The sequence below is a fragment of the Homo sapiens genome, chromosome 3, assembly GCF_000001405.40.
Source record: "Homo sapiens chromosome 3, GRCh38.p14 Primary Assembly".
NCBI classification, from domain to species: domain Eukaryota; kingdom Metazoa; phylum Chordata; class Mammalia; order Primates; family Hominidae; genus Homo; species Homo sapiens.
The window spans coordinates 119,137,409-119,152,938 of NC_000003.12; the positions used below are offsets into that span (position 1 = coordinate 119,137,409).

The 15,530-nt window shown below is 37.0% G+C and overlaps 2 protein-coding genes across 4 annotated transcripts in view, besides 1 other annotated feature; one reads left to right on the forward strand and one right to left on the reverse strand.

Annotated features, from left to right (window-relative positions):
- Positions 1-8,612, reverse strand: part of IGSF11 (immunoglobulin superfamily member 11) — a 245,464-nt gene extending 236,852 nt beyond the window's left edge. For all 3 annotated transcript variants that reach the window (NM_001353320.2, NM_001353322.2, NM_152538.4), the window contains exon 1: positions 8,405-8,612. The gene's annotated coding sequence lies outside the window, so the exon portion shown is untranslated. The remainder of the gene's footprint in view (positions 1-8,404) is intronic.
- Positions 8,014-8,308: a silencer, noted in NCBI's record as "tiled region #3599; K562 Repressive non-DNase unmatched - State 12:CtcfO". NCBI's record gives its function as "represses a minimal TATA promoter and a strong SV40 promoter by Sharpr-MPRA in K562 cells {active_cell/tissue: K562}" and the evidence as "EXISTENCE:reporter gene assay evidence [ECO:0000049][PMID:27701403]".
- Positions 8,613-8,756: 144 nt separating the features above from the next.
- Positions 8,757-14,048, forward strand: TEX55 (testis expressed 55). Its single transcript, NM_152539.3, has 3 exons — positions 8,757-10,179; positions 10,772-10,915; positions 13,816-14,048. The coding sequence occupies exons 1-3, from the start codon at positions 8,782-8,784 to the stop codon at positions 13,882-13,884; spliced, it is 1,611 nt and encodes a 536-aa protein (NP_689752.2). The 5' UTR covers positions 8,757-8,781; the 3' UTR covers positions 13,885-14,048.
- The last annotated feature ends 1,482 nt before the right edge of the window (positions 14,049-15,530 follow it).

A 15,530-nucleotide genomic window follows, 5' to 3' on the forward strand; every position in this document is an offset into this window, starting at 1 on the left:
AAATCTATACATCTACAATGAATTCATTTTTGACAAAGTTTCCAAGAACATACATTGCGGAAAGGACAGTCTCTTCAATAAATGATGCAGGGAAAATTGGATAGCCATATACAGGAGAATGAAACTGGACTCCTATCTCTCACCATATAAAAGAATCAAATCAAAATTAAAGACAAATCTAAGACTACAAACTATGAAACTACCAAAAGAAAACTTTGGGGAAACTCTCCAGTACATTGGGCTGAGCAGAGTTCTTAAGTAATATCCCACAGGCACAGGAAACCAAAGCAAAAATGGACAAATTGGATAACATCAAGTTAAAAAGCTTTTGCACAGCCAAAGAAACAATGAAGTGAATAGACAACCCATAAAATGAGAGAAAATATTTTCAAACTACCCATCTGACAAGGGATTAATAACCAGAATATACGAGGCACGCAAACAACTCTATTGGAAAAAATCTGATAATCCAATCAAAAATGGGCAAAAGATCCAAATACACATTTCTCAAAAGAAGACATACAAATGGCAAACTGGCATATGAAAAAGTGCACAACATCATTGATCATCAGAGAAATGCAAATCAAAACTACAATGAGGTGACATCTCACCCCAGTTAAAATGGTTTTTATCCAAAAGACAGGCAACATTGAATGCTGGTGAGGATGTGAAGAGAAAAGAACCCTTGTAGACTGTTGGTGAGAATGTAAATTATTTTCACTATGGAGAAAAGTTTGGAGGTTCCTCAACAAAAAAAAAAAAAAAAACTAAAAATTGAGCTACCATATGATCCACAATCCCACTGTTGGGTATTTACCCAAAAGGAAGGAAATCAGTATGTCAAAGAGATATCTTCACTCCCATGTTTATTGCTGCACTATTCACAATAGCCAATATTTGGAAGCAACCTGAGTGTCCATCAACAGATTAATGGATTTTTTAAATGTGGTATATATATACAATGGAGTACCACTTAGCCATAAAAAACGAATGGGGCCAGATGCAGTGGTTCATGCCTGTAATCCTAACACTTTGGGAGGCCAAAGCAGGCAGATCACTTGAGTTCTGGAATTCGAGACCAGCCTGGCCAACATGGTGAAATCCCATCTCTACTAAAAATACAAAAATTTTCTAGGCATGGTGGCACATGCCTGTAATCCCAGCTACTTGGGAGGCTGAGGCCTGAGAATCGCTTGAACCTAGGAGGTGGAGGTTACAGTGAGCTGAGATTGTTCCACTGCACTACAGCCTGGGCAACATAGCAAGACTCTGTCTCAAGAAAAAAAAATGGGATCCTGTCATTTGCAACAACCTGGATGGAACTGGAGATCATAATGTTAAGTGAAATAAACCAGGCACAGAAAGACAAATTTCACATGTTCTCGCTTATTTGTGGGAGCTAGAAATAAAAACAATTGAACTCATGGAGCTAGAGAGTAGAAGGATGGTTAACAGAGGCTGGGAAGTGTAGTGGGGAATTGGGGGAAAGTGGGGATGGTAAAGGAGAACAAAAGCACAGAAGGAATGAATAAGACCTAGTATTTGCTAGCACAACAGGGTTAGTATAGAAAAAAAATTAATTCTACATTTTACAATAACTAAAAAAGTGTAATTGGATTGTTTAAGACACAAAGATAAATGCTTGAGGTGACAGATACCCCATTTACCCTTATCTGATTATTACACATTGCATACTTGTATCAAAATATCTCATTTAACCCATAGATATATACACCTACTATATAACCAAAAAATATATATAAATAAAAATGAAAAAATAGTTTATATATTTCCCGGTAAATAAAAACGGACACAATCACTATCAAACGATCCTGCCATATAAAATACTAAAATGAGTCCTTCAGGCCAGAATGAAAGCATACTTGATGGTAATTCAAATCCATGTAAAGAATAAAGAGCAACAGTAAAGATAAGTACATTAGGTATTTGATATGGTTTGGTTGTGTCCCCACTCAAATCTCATCTTGTAGCTCCCATAATTCCCACGTGTTGTAGGAGGTACCCGGTGGGAAATAATTGAATCACAGGGGTGGATCTTTTCTGTGCTGTTCTCATGAATAAGTCTCATGAGATCTGATGGTTTTAAAAACAAGAGTTTCCCTGCACAAGCTCTCTCTTTTTGCCTGCTGCCATCCATGTAAGACGTGACTTGCTCTTCCTTGCCTTCTGCCATGAGTGTGAGACCTCCCCAGTCACAACTCTAAGTCCATTAAACCTCTTTATTTTGTAAACTGCCCAGTCTCGGGTATGTCTTTATCAGCAGTGTGAAAAATGGACTAATATAGTATTATAAAAGATGTTATAAACACACTTTTCTATCTAACTCTTTCCTTCTCCTACCTGTTTTAAAAGATAACAGCATAAATCAATTACAATAGCTGTGTGAATGGGTTTATAATCTGTAAAGATGTAATTTGTATGAAAATAATAATACAAAGAATGGTGACGGGAACATAGTATACTGGAGCAAAGTTTTTGTATAATACTGAAGTTACGTTAGTATAAATCCAAACAAGATTATTTTAAGCTAAGATTAAACTAACTGTAATATCCAGATAAATCAGAAAGAAAATAACTCCAAAAATAGTAAAATAAACAGCAATCAAATTTAAAAGGTACACTAGGAAATATCTATTTAACACAATAAAAGAAAGACTTGAGGAACAAAAAATATATGACATATATAAAATAATAAAATAAAACATGTATATCCTACTTATAAATCAAAAGGCAGAGATAGTCAGAATGGACCCTCCCCCCAAAAAAACCAACTATACCACTACGTATATACTGTCTACAAGAGACAAACTTTAGATCAAAAGACACAAATAGGTTGAAAGTAAAAAGATTTTTTAAAATATGCCATGCATGAAGTAATCAAAGAGAGCTGGAGTGGCTATACTATGAGACAAAATAGATTTTAGGACAAAAATTGTTACTTGAAAAAGTACATTTTATAATGATAAGAAGGTCAATCTATCAGGTATATATAATGATTATAAACACATATAGCCCTAACAACAGAACCCCAAAAATATGTGAAGCAAAAACTTACAGAATTGAAGTGAGATATGGATAATTCAAGAATATAGTTGGAGATGTCAATACTCCACTTTCAATAATAGAATCAACTAAGCAGAAGATCAACCAAGAAAGAGAAGACTTAACTAACACTATAAATCAACTAGACCTAACAGACTTCTAGAGAACATTCCGCCCAACCGCAGCAGAATATACATTCTTTTAAGTGCACATGAACATTATCCAAGATAAACCATATGTTATACCATAAAACAAGCCTCAGTAAATTTTAAAAGATTAAAATCATACAAGGCCAGACACAGTGGCTCATGCCTGTAATCCTAGCACTTTGGGAGGCCGAGGAGGGTGGATCACCTGAGGTCAGGAGTTCGAGACCAGTCTGGCTAACATGGCGAAACCCCATCTCTACTAAAAATACAAAAATTAGCCAGGCATGGTGGCACATGCCTGTAATTCCAGCTACTCAGGAGGCTGAGGCAGGAAAATTGCTTGACCCAGGAGGCAGAGGTTGCAGTGAGCCGAGACCATGCCATTGCACTCCAGCCTGGGCCACAGGAGACTCTGTCTCATTAAAAAAAAAAAAAAAAAAATACAAAATATATTCTGCAATCACAGTGAAATTAAAAGATAAATCAACAGAAAAAATTTAGAAAAATCAGAAATATGTGGAAATTAAACAACACATTCTTAATTAACCAATGGATTAAAGAAGAAATCACAAAAGAAATTAGAAAATACTTTGAGATAAATCCAAATGAAAACACAACATACTAAAACTTATGGGATACAGGAAAGCAATGCTTAGAGGAAAATTTATTGCTATAGAGGCCTATATTTTAAAAGCAACAAAGGTCCCAAATCAATAGCCTAATTTTCCACCTTAAAAAACTATAAAAAAGAGCAAACTATACCCACACCAAGCAGAAGGAATGAAATAATAAAGATTAGAGAGATGTTAATATAATGGAGAATATAAAATGAGAATATAAAAATGACAGAAAAATAATTTAAAGGTTGTTTTTTCAAAATATCAACAAAATTGAAAAGCTTTTAACTAGGTTGACCACATTAAAAAAAGACTCAAATAACTAAAATAAGTAATGAAAAAAGGGACATTACAATATAGATTATCTATATTATCTAATATATTAGATACATTAGATAAAATATCTAATATATATTTCTAATATCTATATATCTAATATAGATATATATTATCTAATACAAATGGGCACATTCTCAGAAAGGCTTAAATATCAAAACTACTGTGCTATCATGTTTATTGCAGTATTATTGTGAATAAATAGCCAAGATATGGAAATAACCTAAGTATCCATCAACATAACTCTCAGGACGGAAAAGTGGCTATAAAGAGGGCATTCCTCAAAAACATTGAAAGGCAACCTGCTGGCATCTGGGTAAAAAGACTAAAATCATGGTTAAATAACGGACACACTGAAAGTTTGGGAGGAAAAGCTGGGGAGAGAGATTATTTGAATAATTAGTGTATCAAAAAGTTTCTGGCCGGGCGCGGTGGCTCACGCTTGTAATCCCAGCACTTTGGGAGGCCGAGGAGGACGGATCACGAGGTCAGGAAATCAAAACCATCCTGACTAACACGGTGAAACCCCCTCTCTACTAAAAATACAAAAAATTAGCTGGGCATGGTGGCGGGCACCTGTAGTCCCAGCTACTCGGGAGGCTGAAGCAGGAGAATGGCGTGAACCTGGGAGGCGGAGCTTGCACTGAGCCGAGATCGCGCCACTGCATTCCAGCCTGGGCGACAGAGCAAGACTCCATCTCAAAAAAAAAAAAAAAAAAAAAAGTGTCTGCATGTATTGGACATCCAGAAAAGCACATGCATGCCCACGGAATGATGCAAGTAACATACAAACTGTCCAGACTTTACCTTTTGTTTTTTTATTATGAAGTATGCAAAGAAACAACAAAGTATGGCTAGGAGAAATTAAAATAAACTGCTACTAAGGAAGCACAGATATTGGACCAAAACTTTAAATCAACTGTCTTAAAAATGTTCAAAGAGCTAGGGGAAGATAGGTCAATTGAAATTCTTCAGCCTGAAGAAAAGGAAGAAGAATGAAGAAAAATTTATAGAGCCTCAGAGACCTATAAGACACCCTTAAGTGTACCACTTATGCATGGTGGGAGCTCCAGAAAAAGAGGAGAGAGAGAAAGGGAAAGAAAAAATATTTAAAGAAGTAATGGCTGAAAATGTTACAAATTTGATAAAAGAAATGATTGTACACATTCAGGAAGCTCAACAAACTCCAAAAGAATAACATAAAAGATCCACACTGATACATGACAATAAAACTTTCAAAAGAGAAAGACATTTTGAAAGAGAAAATATTGAAAGGAGCAAAAAAGAAGTGATTCCTCACATATTAAGATACTGAAGGTGAACAGTCAATTTCTCAGCAGAATTCATGGAAGTGAGAAAGCAGTAAGACAACATATTTACAGTTGAAAAAAATACCATCAACCAGAAATTCTACATTCAGCAAAACTACCTTTCAGAAATAAAGAAGAAATTAAGACATTCCCAGATAAACAAATCCTAAGTTCATCTATAGTAGGCCTGCCATACAAGAAATTCTAAAAGGATATCCTCAAGTAGAAATGAAAGATATAGTAACTTGAAGCCATATGAAGAAATAAAAAAATACTGGTTTTGGTATCTATATAGGTGATTTAATAGCCAGCATTGTATTTTTGGTTTGAACCTCTTTTTATGTATGATTTAAATGATGGATGTACAAAATAATTATAATAAATCTATGTTAATAGGTACACACTGTATAAAGATGCTATTTGTGACAACAATAACACACAAAAAAGTAGAGACAGACATGTATTATATAACAGCAGGGTTTTGTATACCATTGAAGCTAGGATGGTTTTAATTCAAAATAGGTTGTTATAAGTTTAGGAGGCCAATTGTAATCTCTAAGTAACCACTAAGACAATAACTAAAAATATATATACAGAAAAGGAATGAGAAAGGAATCAACATGATACACTATAAAAAAAATCAACTAAACACAAAGGATGGTAGTAATGGAAGAACTGAGGAACAGAAAACATGTAAAAATAAATAGCAAAATGACAGAAGTCCTTCCATAGCAGTAATTACTTTAAATGTAGATGGATTAAACTTTCCAATAAAAAGACAAAGATTGGCAAAATAGATTTTTTTAAATGTGATCCAACTATATAGTGTAAGATTCTTTTTAGTTTCAAGGACATTAATAAGTTGAAAATACAACTAGGGAAAAAGATATGCCATGCAAATAATAACCAAAAGAGAGCTGGAGCTGCTATACTATTATCAGACAAAATAGACTTTAAGTCAAAAAATGTTATGAGGGACGAAGAAGTGCATTATATATTGATAAAAGCGTCAATTAAACAAGAAGACTTTATTTCTTCTTGTTTATAATATTTATTTATAGAAAATAATTATTTGTAGAAAACAACAAGCTCAAATTATATGAAGCAAACATTGACAGATTTGAAGGGAAAAAGAAACAGTTCTACAATAATAGTTGGAGATTTTAATACCCCACTTTTTTTGTGTGAAATAGGGTGTCACTCTGTGGCCCAGGCTGCAGTGCAGTGGCACAATCATGGCTCAGACAGCCTCAACCTCCTGGTCTCAAGCAATCCTCCCACCTCAGCCCACCAGTAGCTGGGACCACAGGTGCACACCACCACACCCGGCTGATTTTTTGTGTTTCTCACTTTGAATAATGAGTAGAACCCTAGACAGAAGGCCAGTAAGAAAATATAGGACTTGAACAACACTATTGACCAATTAGACCTAACGCATATGAAGAACATTCCACCCAACAAAAGCAAATACACATTCTTTCCATGGAATATTCTCCAGGATAAACCATATGGTAGGCCACAAAACAAGCCTTAATATATTTTAAAAGATTGAAACCATACAATGTATCTTCTCTGAACACAGCAGAATGAAGCTAGAAATCAATAAGAGAAGGAAAACTGGAAAATTCATACATATTTGGAAACTAGACAACATACTTTTAAACAACCAATGTGTCAAAGAAAAAAAAATCACAGAAAATGAGAAAATATCTTCAGATGAATGAAAACATAACACCAAACACTTGAGAGATGCAGCAAAAGCATCAGCTCAGAGGGAAATTTGTAACTATAAAACAGCTACATTTAAAAAAAAGATCTCAAATTGATAAATCATCATTTTGTAAAATATATACATACCTATAGATATAGACACATAGATTTGCATGGGGGTATTTCCAGAAGGATAAACATCAAAATGTCAATACAGGTTATCTCTTGAGTGTTTGGGAATTTTTTTCTTTACGCTTTCTTTTTTATATTTCTATGATTATTACATTTAAGTTATAAAATGGAAAAATAAATCTCCAAAACCAATAGCACTTTGAAGCTACAAGCCATAGCCCAAGACCTATTTTACTCTAAACACAGTATCCAATGGTGTCATGCATTTTTAAATAAATAAGGTAGATAATTCATAAAGTGACATTCAACAAGCACTTCTTGAGCACCTATTATGTTCTAGGCACTGTTACATAAATGACTTTACTTCAGTGTGCTTAGATTCCCCTTTCCATTCCTAAGTATGGTGTCAAGTGTATCCACTCTCCTTTGTCACAAGTATTTGAATTTGGATTTTAAGTCTCATTTCTAATTGTTTAATGCAGTTAAATCCCTACTAAAGGAATATCTGGCATCACACTACCAACCCTTGGCCTGCCTCAGTGATTTCAGGCTTTGCAAGGTCAAAGTAATTTGTCTCATCAATCACCACCTCTGTACTGGCCTACTCCTGAAAGTAGACAGCCTACTGACTCTGAGGTGCATTCTTAAGGTTGATTGCAAAGTGGGAGGACCAAATCTCAAAAACTGGGCCCCACTGGCCAACACTATCAAATACAAATTCTCCACTTGCTAAATATTCCTTCTGGTATCTTTCTCCCACTTTCCTTACTCCCTTCCTTTCTGGAACTCTGATTTGGCCTCCTTCTAACTCGCCTCTCTGCTGTAAGACCACTAGATGGTGCAGTTTTAGAACCCATTCTCACTGGATCTTCTCTCCTCTCTCTGGCTCTCCCGCCACAGATCACATGTCTAATCCAGCAAGAAAACACCTTGGGGCAGGAGTTTCCACTGCCAAGACAGCTATACCCAAAGGGGATGGCAATAGCAACAACCTCTGTTCAGTTTTGTGGTCCTCGTGCAGCTGGTTGTGTGTTCATCTGTTGACATTTGGAGGTGCGGTGGGGGATGTTAATCAGAGGAGCAGTACCTGAGAGAGGGCCTCTTTCTCACACACTGCGGAGAACCTCTGTGAACAAGGAAGAGGGTAACACTCTAGGTGGCGATGCACGGAGCCCCGTGGCCTGGTTGCTCGGCAGGGTGAGGAGAAGCTGTAACTGCCAGAGCCTGAGAATCGCCCCTTCTCAGGACATGGCGTACTCCCTGCGCTCGCCTGCACACTGCAGGGTCAGCTGACTGCCGTCCCTCCACTTACAACAGCGGGACGGCCACTCTCCCTGACGCACGCAGTGACCCGAACAAAGCCCGTGGGAATCATGGGGCGTTCCTGGAGGGTCGCCTAGACGACCCAGCCCAACCCCACCCACAGTGCCTGGCAACCTAGACCAGTCAGGGACGCGGCAGGAAATGGAAGAGCCTCCGCAAGAGGCTCTGGCTGAACCCTTGAAACATGAAAGCCCAGCCGCTCCCTCAAGTGCTGGCCACACTAAGGGCCAGGAAGAAGACGACCAGAAGAACCAGGCCGAAAGGAAGGCAGATAACCACACTGCTCACAGAATAGCTGACCAGACTGCCCTAAGAGTGCCTAGCCAGGCTGAATCCAGCATATTTAGCCAAGCTACCAACGGAGTAGCTGAACAAAATGGGCATAGTACACCTGGTCAGGCTGGCCGCAGAGCATCCAACCCTGCTGATGTTTCTGACCTTAGAGCAGATGATCAGGTTAATCAAACACCGTCTGAACAGACTAAAGGCAAGGCATCTAGCCAAGCTAATAATGTACAGCATGAACAGAGTGATGGTCAGGTGTCTGGCCTGACGGAGGAAAGAACTGCTGAACAGACTGAACGAAGATTACCTACCCAGGCTGAGAGAAGAACTTCTGGGCAGATTGATGGTAGACTGGCTATGCCATCTGACCAGAGAGGTTCCAGACAGACCGACCACAGAATGGCAGGCCAGTCTGAGAGAAGAGCTTCCGAGCAGATGGACCGCAGAATGTCTGGCGAGGCTGAGCGAAGAACTTCTGAGCAGATTACACACAGATTATCCAAACTATCTGAGAGAAGACCTTCTGTGCAGATTGACAGTGGGTCATCCGTCCCATCTGACCAAAGTCCTTCTGTACAGATTGACAGTGGATCGTCCGTACCATCTGACCAAAGACCTTCCGTACAGATTGACCGCAGAATGTCAGGGAAAGTTAGGAGAAGAAGTTCTGAGAAGACTGACTACAGATTGGCTGGCCTGGCTGACCCAGGAACTTCTGAGCAGACTGACCTCAGATTGTATGGCCTCGTTGACCACAAAACATCTGTAAAGACTCACCACCAAGTGTACGGCCAAGCCACTGAACTAGCTGAACACCAGGCTATTGACCAAGCTCATAGTAATGCTGATCAACCTCCAGTTGACAATGCTCACTACACTGAATCTGACCAGACTGACCACTTAGCAGACAGACAAGCTAATCATAAAGACCAGCTGTCTTACTATGAAACACGTGGCCAGTCTGAAGACAGAATATTTCCCCAGTTAGGCAACAGCAAAGAGGACAAAGAGGCTGACTACAGAGTACAACCCTGCAAATTTGAGGATAGCCAAGTAGACCTCAATTCCAAGCCTTCAGTTGAAATGGAAACTCAGAATGCAACCACTATCCCACCCTACAACCCAGTTGATGCCAGATTCACCAGTAACTTCCAAGCAAAAGACCAAGCTCTTTTCCCAAGACTCCCCTCCATCTCATCCAAATTGAACTATACCAGCAGTCAAGAAAAAACTCAAGCCATAGTAACCAAATCTGTAAGTTAAATGGGCATTTGATACCTACCTGGGAGATCAGAGATCTAGACGGGGCCTGGAGAGTAAAAATAGGGGTACAACGGAAGGGCACATGTTGCATCAAGGATAAAGAATAAACCCACATGTTGTGGTATGTGTGACCCATAATTTCAGGAAGGGCAAGAGAAGGATGGGAAATAAAAGAGAATTATTGCCTTCTCTACTACCCAAAGGCCATTCAGGAAGGATTAATAAACCAGGATTCAGGAAACCTGCATTTTAAGTCCTAGTTCTGCAACTAACTCTGTGATATTAAGTCATTTTCCCTCTCTGGGCTTCTACCAGGAGAAGGGAATTTGGAGTTGATTAGACATCCCTGTGAAGGAAAAAGTACTTGAAGTTGATTGGCAATGCCTAAGGTACCTCCCAGGACATGAGGTGCATTATATTGCACCTGGAGACCTGGAGGATTATCCAAGTCTCTCTTAAAAATGTGTATTTTCTCCAACTCCTTGTGTTAAGATCTCATCAACATCAGGTTTCACTGATAATGACAATTCCTAGGCCCTTCAGGTTTACTAAGGACTTTTTGGTGGGGGGATTTAAATTTCAGGATGAATTTTCAGAAATTGACCAAGGAAAGGGTTATCATATACGCAATCAAACTTATAGAAGGTTCCCTTCTATAGTTTATGAAGATCCTTACCAAGTTTCACTCCAATACATGGAAAAACACCACATTCTGCAAATATTCCAGGTAAACCTCTCAATTCCTCTCTTTAATTATAAGTTTTTCAAGAGGTACAAGAAAGAGTGTATTCTGTAAAAAGGGATATATTCTAATTGAGAAGACAATAAGTGCATTAAGATGTAGTTACCATAAGTAGTAAATGATAAACACCAAATAGATGATACCATCATATGAAGCCATTCAGAGGGATTAGAGATCAGGTAGGTTGGTTGATAGGGAAAAACTTGGCCAAGGGTTAAATAGCCAGTCTAGGAAGGAAGGACAAAATATTATCAATTGAAAAGAAGAGAAAAAGGCAATCCAGGCAGAAGTATTATACCATCACGTGTTGCTTAATAACAAGGATATCTTCTGAGAGTTCTGAAACATGCATCATTAGGCAATTTTGTCACTGTGTAAACATCAGTGTACTTACACAAATCTAGATGATATAGCCTACCACACACTTAGGCTATATGGCATAGCCTATTGCTCCTAGGCCACAAACCTGTATTGTACATTATTATAATGAATACTGTAGGCAATTGTAACACAATGGGAAGTATTTGTGTATCTAAACATAGAAAACATACAGTACAATTACCATATGAGAGATAAAAATGGTACACCTCTATGGAGTACTTAACTATGTATGGAGCTTTCAGGCCTGGAAGTTGCTCTGAGCGAGTCAGTGAGTGGTGAGTCAGTGTAAAGGCCTTGGATGTTACTGTACAATACTGTAGACTTTAGAAACATTATACAGTTAGGCTACACTAAATTTTTTAACATATTTTTCTTCAAAACCAAATTAACCTTAGCTTACTGTAGCTTTTTTACTTTATAAATTTTTAATTTTTTTTAATCTGACTTTTGTAATAATGCTTAGCTTAAAATACACATAGTACAGCTATACAAAAATGTTTTTCTTTACATTCTTATTCTGTAACCGTGGTTCTATTTTTAAATTTTTTTTACTTTTATTTTTCTACTTTTTAAACATTTTTGATAAAAACTAAGACACAAATACACACATTAGCCTATGCCTACAGGATCAGGATCATCAATATCACTGTCTTCCACCTTCACAACTTGTCCCACTGGAAGGTCTTCAGAGGCAATAACATGCATGGAGCTGTCATCTCCTGTGATAACAATGCCTTCTGGAATACCCCCTGAAAAACCTCCCTGCTGTTCTACAGTTAACTTTTTTAAATAGGTAGACAGAGTACATTCTAAATAAATCACATAGCAAGTACATAAACCAGCAGCATAGTCATTTATTTTCAAGTAGGATGTACTATACATAACTTCGTGTGCTATATTTTTATACAACTGGTAGCAAAGTAGGTTTGTTTACACCAGCTTCACCACAGACACATGAGTAATGCTTTGCACTATGGCATTATGACAGCTATGACGTCACTAGACAATAGGAATTTTTCAACTCCATTAAAATCTTGAAACACATCACTATATGGAACACGACTATACTTTCAAAAGATGACCAATCTCGTGACCATCTAAGAAGGCACATTCTCTAGAGGGGAAAAGATATACTTTAAAATTGCTTCTAATTCTTCAAATTACAAATCTCATTGACCTCAGAATGTGGTGCTGGAACTTGTGGTTAGAAAGGTGTAAAATAAGAATGGCTTACCTCAAATGAAAACCTTTAAACTGAAAATTTTTGAATGCAAAGAAGTAGAGCATGGAGGAAAGAGCACAGATTTTGTAATCTGTTAGCCCAAGTCTCAAATCCTAACTTTGCACTTCTTATCTTTGTGATTTGGGAAAAATTATTTAACTTTTGTGAACCTAAGATTCCTCATATAAAGTAAGGATAAGTGATGTCTACTTCATTAACCTTGGTCTATGCCTTTTCCTTTTTCAAACGTCTTTTTGTTGGAAGAGTACTAATGTCTGGGTTTCTGGCTTTAATTAAAGAACTACTAATTATTAAACTGAAGGATGAAACCTGTTGAGACTTCCATTGAGACAGTAGAGTTTTAATCATTTTATAATTTTCTTCACCTGTGAAGAAAAAAACTGCTTATGCGTGCAACATTGTTATAGGAAAAAATGGTAATTAAATGTGTGTTCAACAGAAATAGATATAAAATACATAATGGAATGATGTTGGTGCCTTAAATAGACCTGATTATTTTATCCTGAAATTTGCCTGATTTTTATGCCCTGCAAGTGAGAATTGTGCTTACTTTATTATAATTTTTTAATTTATTCAATAACAACAAAAGTATGAAGTGAATCTAAAGTTTTATATATACTTTTTCATAATATTATAATACTGAACATCATTTTTGCCATTTAGAATCAAATGTCTCAGAAGGAAGTTTCTATGCAAAATTGTGCAGTGTTTTAAAATTTTTATTCAGAAGGTTTTTCTTGTACTGTTCTTCAAAGCAAATAATTTATTAATTTCTCAATCTAGCAAGACCACAGTTCTCAAAACAAATATTATCTTCCAAACTTTCTCCCTATCTCTGTGATCTTGGAAACTAGTAAAAATATCAATTGCTATTTATACTAAATTTCTATTTCTCTAAATTTTACCTTAATTTGCCTAATTTTATTAGTAATAATAAAGTAAGCTGTTACTTTGTAGAAATACACGAATTTCTTCAAAATACCATAGTGAGCCAGAAATAGTGGTGTGCACCTATAGTCCTAGCTACTCAGGATGCTGAGGCAGGAGGATTCCTTGAGCCCAGGAGTTTGAAGCTGTAGTGAGCTATGAACTATGATAGTACCACTGCATTCCATCTTGGGTGACAGAGTGGGAACCCATCTCTGAAAAAAACAAAAGCTATGGTATGTGTTAGGTTAGTGGGAAAGATAGCATCAAATATAACCTGACCACATAATTTTGCTCAGAACCATAATGTGATGCCTTATGCTCTCTTTCTCAGCAGATTACTGAAAACTTAGTCTATGAAAAGCCAGAGGACCCCCTGAATTTTATGCTGTGCCAGGTATAGAATTGGAGAAAAAGAACAACCTTTTTATTCTCTTTATTGTAAAATACAGCACACATACAGCAAAGTGTATAGAACAAAGTACGTACAACTCTGAATTCTTATGAAGTAAACATACCTGTAACTACCATTCAAGTTTTTAAAAAATAAATAAAACATAACCAGCATCCCAGAAGCCCCCTTCCTTTCCCTCACAGTTATTACTTCCCACAAAAGGATTCTTTATCACCTTTATGACAATGACCTCCTCACTTTTCTTTATAATTTTTCACTAAACCTGAATCATGAGACACTTGTGTTTATATTTGTCAGCTTTTGAACTGTATATAAAGGGAACCATATCATATATAATCAATTGTATCTGGTTTCTTATGCTCAAAATTATGTCATTGGGATTGATCCATGCTGTTGTATGTGGCTATATCTCATTCATTTTAATTGGCATGGGTGTCCAATCTTTTGGCTTCCCTGGGCCACTTGGGAAGACAAATTGGAGCCACACATAAAATACACTAACAGTGATAGCTGACGAGAAAAAAAATCGCAAAAAAAAAACAACTAATAATATTTTAAGAAAGTTTATGAATTTGTGTTGGGCCTCATTCAAAGCTGTCCTGGACCACATGCAGCCCACAAACTGCAGGTTGGACAAGCCTGCTGTACAGTATTCATTGTGTAGAATACCAGAATTTATCCTACTTTCGATGGGAATTCAGGTTGTTTCCAACTTGGAGTTATTACAAAAAATTTGCTGTAAACCTTCTTTCACATGTCCTTTGGTAACACATTTCTCTTGAGTGCATACCTTGAAGAGTAATTGCTGGATCATAGGGTGTGTGTTTCCTCAGCTTTAGTAGATTATTTCAAACAATTTCCCAAAGTGATTATACCAATTTGTGTTCCCATCAGCAGTGTGTAAACGTTCCAATTGTTCCACATCCTTACCAATGCTTACTACTATCAGTGTTTTTAGCATCAGCCATTTTGATAGGTGAATAGTAATATATCATTGCCGTTTCATTTTGCTTTTTCCTGATTACTAAGGCAGTTGCACATCTTTTCATTTGTTTATTGGCCATTTGGAAATACTTATTTTTCTATTGTATCGTTTGTCTTTCTGTGCCTGGCTTATTTCACTTAACATAAAGACCTCCAGTTCCATCCGTGTTGCTGCAAATAATAGGACTTCCTTCTTTTTATGTCTGCATAGTATTCCGTTATATATATGTGCCACATTTTCTTTATCCATTCATGTGTTGATAAACACTTAGGTTGATTCCTTACCTTGGAATTTTTGAATAGCGCTGTAGTAAACACGGGAGTGCAGGTATCTCTTCAAAACAGATTTCCTTTCCTTTGGAAATATAGCCAGCAGTGGGATTGCTCAATTATATGGTAGTTCTATTTTTAGCTTTGTTTAGGAAACTTGATATATTTTTCATAATGGCTGTAATACTTTACATTTCCACCAATAGTGTGCAGTATTCCTGTTTCTTCATACCTTCACCAGCACTTGGTTTGTTTGGTGGTTTGCTTTTTTGTTTTAGTTGTTGGTTGGTTTGTTTGTTTGTTGGTCTTTTTGATAATAGCCATTCTAACTGGGAAGAGATGGCATCTCATTGTGGTTTTGATTTGCATTTCCCTGATGA

Bases quoted from the DNA above. Each gene is read 5' to 3' on its own strand.
- TEX55 (NM_152539.3), top strand. From the start codon at position 8,782: ATGGAAGAGCCTCCGCAAGAGGCTCTGGCTGAACCCTTGAAACATGAA. The intron at 10,180-10,771 runs GTAAGTTAAATG...TTTAAATTTCAG, and splicing joins AAGCCATAGTAACCAAATCT to GATGAATTTTCAGAAATTGA. The intron at 10,916-13,815 runs GTAAACCTCTCA...TCTCTTTCTCAG, and splicing joins ACATTCTGCAAATATTCCAG to CAGATTACTGAAAACTTAGT.